The sequence below is a fragment of the Homo sapiens genome, chromosome 9 (assembly GCF_000001405.40).
Source record: "Homo sapiens chromosome 9, GRCh38.p14 Primary Assembly".
NCBI classification, from domain to species: Eukaryota; Metazoa; Chordata; class Mammalia; order Primates; family Hominidae; genus Homo; species Homo sapiens.
The window spans coordinates 107945637-107951760 of record NC_000009.12 but is presented as its reverse complement, the minus strand read 5'-3'; the positions used below and the strand labels follow the sequence as shown (position 1 = coordinate 107951760).

Below are 6124 nucleotides of genomic sequence, written 5' to 3'. Positions count from 1 at the left end.
TGTGTGAGTGACAGAAGCCTACAGTTCTGAGGAGTCTAATAGGAATCCATAAAGCTGGGCCCTCTGAGTCTACACCCTCATTGTAAAGATAAGCTGGAAGTCAACTTTACCTCCCTTGCCTCAGAAAGAACTACATGGAAAACTGCATCTCTCACACACTGGTACAGAGTGAAGTGGGGGCAATCTGCCATAAGAATTTACAATCTTAACAAATTTGGGAAGTTAGCGGGGAAGAAAGGAATCAACAATCACAAACCACCCATTCATGGCTGTTTGGCCTAAATTCATACTTACTTGGTGGTCTCAATAACCACAAGTAAAAGTTTATTTTTAAGCACCTATTTTAAAATTTATTTTAAAGCCAGTAGTGCCATCAGACACCTGACAAAAGCAAATACAAATCCTTTCTTCAAGAACTCATATTGTTCCAAATCTTAAAGAATTTACACAGATAAAGTTCCAAAGTAAATGAGCAAATCACAGTAAAAACTCACTAAATGTTTAAGCAATCCAGGCACCATGAATGAGAGTCTTCAGTAACAGGAGACAGCAGAATCAGACTTCAAGTACTAGAAGACAGAATATATAAAATAAATGTTATTTAATTATTTCAATTAAAAACAGGCTTGAAAATGTGTACATGTGATATTAAGACAATTTTTTAAAGAACAAAGCAGAACTTCTAGAAGTAAAAAATATAATAACAAATGACTGTAATATAGATTACACATATTATGTATTGAATTACATGTAACATATAATTTAATTTTGTATTGTATATTTTTTCAGAAAAAAGAGACTATTAAAAGTATAATAAAATGATAAGAGACTACAAATTTGGCTAGATAGTTATAAACGAACCAAATAGAACTTCTAGAAATAAAAAATACAGTCATTAAAATTAGATACTCAATGTATGCATTAAACATTAGATTTAAGAGAGCAGAAGAGAGAATTAGTGAACTGGAAAATGGACCTGGGAAATCACTCACAATGCATTCCACAAAGACAAAAAGTAAAAAATTATGAAAGAGGGGTTAGGGGATACAGATCATAGAGTGAGGGAGTTGTAAAGATTAGAGATAATGGATATAAAGTATCTAGCCTTTAATTGGCACCTGAAGATGGTCAAGAAATTGTAGCTATGATTATTATTCAAGTTTTGGAATGGTTTCAGAGAGTCATACCTCTTATGACATAGAGATTCACATATGTCCAAAAATGTTAAAAAAAAAAAAAAAAAAAAAGAAGAGAAAGATAGTTGTGAATGATTTTCTGAAAATAAAAAAAGAAACAAACAAAAAAAGGGCCCACTCAGACTTCAGTATTTCATAAAGGAGAATGCCATTTTAGTATTGAGACTTGTCTTCTGAGACTCTCTTTATTCATTCCCCATGCCTAACAAATCTGTTTGGTGGTTCAATAATTTATTTAATGGGCATTAGTAAGTCTGTCAGTCTGGTCTCAAAACGCACACACACACACACACACACACACACACACACACACACACACGCAAAACTAGATAGTCAATTCTTAACTCTCTTGTAACCAGAAAATTACATATGAACTTACATGGACCAATTTCTACATGGAGTTGTATTCAGTAACAGCTTTGACCTCTAAAATCCTTAAGAATTTATATGGACCTGTATTCTCAGTTTGTTTGTATGTTTTTACAAAGGAACCAATTCAAGGATTTGGAAGAATCAAACAAATAAAAACAAAATTCTCTCGACATCATTCACTACTCTCCATCTTTCTTATTCTTTCTTCTATTTTCCCCTGTTTCTCTCAGTGCTATGCTGTATTCATTTCTTCATCTTTATCTTTGCCCTTGGGCCACCCCATCCTGCCCCTTGACCAGCTGTGACTACCAGAATTTCTTTCACCACACACAGCCCATTTTGAACTGATCCATGATGACTAGAGATTCCCAAAGCTCCATGTTCCTGATCCTCTGTCATTCCCTTTAAAGGGCAGACACAGGGCCCCCAGTAAAGTGAAATTGTTTATATGATTCACCAGTTCTCATGTTGAATACAATCTTTACTTTGTTCTACCACAAAATCTAATCTACCATGTTAATTAAATAACCCACATACACCAGCAGCCATACAGACAGAACCACAGTTTCCAACATTCAGCACCATTCAAGTGCATCCCTGTGTAGCCTGTTAAGGGAAACTAAGGCTTACAATCCTAAAAGAAGGGGGAAGTTACCAGAGTTCTTGTGTAGGAGAAAGATATACATATCATTGTAAGACCAAAAAAGACTATTATGTGTACCATAAAAGTATACCATGAAATATAAACGTCCAAAAGGTATTCCAACCATTGCTACTTTGTGTGAATTCAAGAATGCTAGGAAATATTATGTCTAGGAATACCTGCAATTATAAAGGACAGTAATTATCCCTGCAACAGTCACCAGATGTTTCATCCTCAGAATTGCGAAAGTTCTTATTGCCACACTCAATTAGCTATGCAGTGACATGGATGCACTCCCTCATGTGTTTCCTTTCTCTGGGGTCACGCGTATGCTAAGGTGACCTAATATAAAGTGTGATTTTGGCACAAAAGCATCACACAGAACATGACCTAAATATCATATTCAAATGCAGTCACATATATTGAGAGTCTACTCACATTCAATCCTTACAACAGCTATGTGAGTTGCCTGCAGTTTTTTTTTTTATATATATATAAGTAAACCAAGGCTCTGACAGTCTAAGTAACTTGTCCCAACCCAGACATACAGTAAGTGTCCCTGAAACCTTAGACCTTGTCTCTCTGGCTTTAAATACTGTACTGTTTTGACTGACCAACCTGGAAATTAAAGCGGGAGAATTAGACTATCTACAAATAGGAAAATTGTGTAGTGTCAAGAGAACCATGCCATTGTGGTCAAGGTCATAGACCTGGGCTGGGTCAATTAGCTTTTCTCTTTCCCAGTGGTTTACACTTTAAATCCTGCCAGAGTTTAAGCAGATTAGTCACAATAGCAACTGAGTAGGAATTTGTGGATGGCTGACAAAATTAATCATTTCTCACGTGTATGTGCCATTTATGCATTTTAAATTTTCCTTTCATATTTACTATCTACATTAAACCTCCAAAATAAGATAAAATAGGTTTTACCATCCTTAATGTACAGATAAGGCTCAGAAGAAGAGTGTACTGTGACCACCCTGGGCCACATAAGTGGTAAGTGAAGGGGACTGGAACTAAAATCCAGGGTCTCTGACTGCAAGCTCAGTGCTCTTCCCACTGGTCCAGAATTGCCATGGATAAGCCCAGACTCTGCCTAGTGCTCAAAACATTGTTTCAAAGCCCAAAGCTTCGAAAGGCAATCTAGGAGAAGAAGACCATGCATTTATATCTTCCCAGTTGATTCCGTGTTGCTCTCCGTGGCCCTGGGGCTCATCTGACTTCCCATGCATTCCCTCCCACCAAAGAAATGCCAAATAAATGATGTCATTTAAATGCCCGATTTCTCAAGTAAGCAGTAAAGGCTGGAGCCCCATTCACACAGCACGTGTGGACATTTGGTGGTTGTCCTCGTCATCCCATGCTCCTTCCCCTCTTCCTAACTCTACATTGACTTCCATAGTAAGGTATTTTGAGTAGAATTAATGCTGAATGCAGACTCCATGAAAATATCATCAAAATAGCCAGTTGATAAGACAAAGCTGAGTATATTCTTATCAAAACAAGGGGAAACACTACCATAATAAAGTCTTAGTAGCATCACAGGACAAAGTTCAGATATTTATAAGATTTTGGAGTCTGACCTAAGATGAACTTTCAATGGGAGAGGCCTAATTAGGATTGGATAAGTATCACAATATAATACTTCAGGATTGGTAGACAATCAAAGGCTTCAAGCTATGATTCAAAAAGTCTTAGAGAGTAAACAGTCATTTGATGCTATTTATTAAAAATTTCAAGTGTGGTGTTTATATAAATTATTTTTGTTTATTTGTTTTGTTTCTTCGGTGGATACAGGGGAGAAAGTTCCTGAAATGAACAGTAAGTAATCTGCAACTTTTATCTTCCTGGGGAAGGGTTCCCTGGAGGAGTAATGCTACATTGATGAAGACAGTGGAATAGCAAAGTTATGTTAGTGAAGACAGTCAAATAGTAAAGTCAGGTTAATGTGGATAATAAGCTGTGTGAGTGTAGATGGATTCAGTCCTGAATCCCATTGCAATTCCCTGCAGTGTGCCCTGATTGACTTAAATGAATCAACATAGTCCATCCCCCTGGTCCCAGTGATTGACCCAGCAATTGGTGCAAGAAGCAATTGAGGCCAATGGAGCCTCATCATTCAGCTGTATGCAAGGCAGAGTTTCTAATATCTACTCAGTTTGAACCTGAGTCTGCAGCCCCACTAGTTGTTGGCAGCAACCTTGCAACCGTAATTTTAAGTCTTTGAAGAGGGCCAGTGTTAATGAAGAGAGGCTGAGAAGGAAGTGAGAGAAGCTTTGTTTCAGTCTAATCACTTGAGCCACCAAATCAAACCTTAAGCCAGCCCTACTGGGACAATATATATATTTCCTTTATAAACTAAGCCATTTAAAGATGAATCTTCTTTTATTTACAATGCATGGCATTCTAATAGATACAGAGCACATATGAGAATTTTTCACATTTCCTACATGTATGACTTTAGAAAAGTTATTTCTTTGCTACCAATCTTGTTTTCTACATCCATGAGTAACAGGATTCACCAATGAATTGGATTGTGAGAACCAAGATAATGTATGCCAAGTGCCCAATGCCTAGGACATAGCTGTTACTCAATAAATGGTAACCCTAGCCATGGCAACTCTGGCTATGACTCTGCAACTAACCAGCTAAGTGACCCAGGAAAGTCACTAATCCTATCTGGGAGGCTGATCATTTCTCTATAATGCTTCAGGATCTTTCGCTGGGTTTTGAATCCCCAACTAACTCTCACATTTCATTATTTTGTGCATTATCTTTCTACACACTAGAATAAATTAAACTGGAAATCCCCCTCCAGGCCCTGCCACATGATTCAGTAAGCCAGTCCTTGAGACATGATATATTGGCATTTGATACCAGCCTGGGTTCTTGGCTGTGAGAACAAACAGGGCACTGAGATAACTAACGCTTGATCACCACTGAGCAGATTCCAAGTAGCAGGTTGGATTTGGGAAGGTGGCTGAATAAATATTAGCCTTTATCACAGCTCAAACAACCCCAACTGCCAAACCGAAGAGTTCTTGGGAAGGAATTGTATTCCCTCTTCCGCTTTGGAGAACCAGAAATCACAATGTAATTTTGTCACACTGCCCAGCAGATAATTCTTTTCTAGCTAGTAAATAAAGGCAGGCACTGCCCTATGTGTTTAAAGGCATCGTATGCCTACATTTACTCTCTCTTTCAGATAAAGAGGAGTAGGGCTGGCTTAACAAGAGATACTTCCAAGAAACTGGAGGTGGGTTTTGCCTTTGACCAGTTGAGAACTTTGGTCATAGGAAGAATCCATCCAGTCTGAAGAATCTGAAGAATTATTCAAAGATACTGCAAAAAGCCACGTCCAAGAAAAAGAAGTTTCCAATTTCATGTTCATGGAGGAACTCCTTTTCAAATTCCAAAAGCTGTGTCAACACAACCAATGGGAGTTGGAGAGCCTAAGCAATCATCTGCGTGATTCAAGTTAAAAATATTTGTCCCTAAATCATTTAGTTGAGGCAAGAATAATCTTCTCTATGAATTAAATAAGCAATCACCTTAACTGTAATTAAAATATTATATTTGGACAGTGCTTTATACTTTTCAAAGTACTTTCACTTATTTCACAATTATCTCATTTTCTAGGAAGGTGAAGAGCAGAGAGGTGAAGAGACCTGTCCAAAGACACAACCATGAGATAGTAGCTGGGATCCAAGGGGTGGATGATGTGGCAGGAATGAGAGAGTGTTTAAAGTTATTTCTAACAGTCAGAGCCAGCATTAAGAGCCTAAGTGCCTGACATCTTGTCTCTCTAGTGCCATGCTGCATCTCACCTCTCTCCTCTAGAGGTGCCATATAGTCAATCACATTACGGACATCAAGGTTTATCAGCGGCACCCAGAAACTGACATCAGGGAGA

General features: G+C 37.9%; 2 annotated features.

The window, feature by feature from the left end:
* Positions 4996-5140: an enhancer, noted in NCBI's record as "145 bp 9:110708974 sequence used in MPRA reporter constructs". NCBI's record gives its function as "activates a minimal TATA-containing promoter with rs10979122 allelic activity by MPRAs in UACC903 melanoma cells {active_cell/tissue: UACC903}" and the evidence as "EXISTENCE:reporter gene assay evidence [ECO:0000049][PMID:36423637]".
* Position 5068: a transcriptional cis regulatory region, noted in NCBI's record as "rs10979122 or 9:110708974 MPRA-significant variant associated with a GWAS melanoma risk locus at 9q31.2". NCBI's record gives its function as "allelic transcriptional activity by MPRAs in UACC903 melanoma cells {active_cell/tissue: UACC903}" and the evidence as "EXISTENCE:reporter gene assay evidence [ECO:0000049][PMID:36423637]".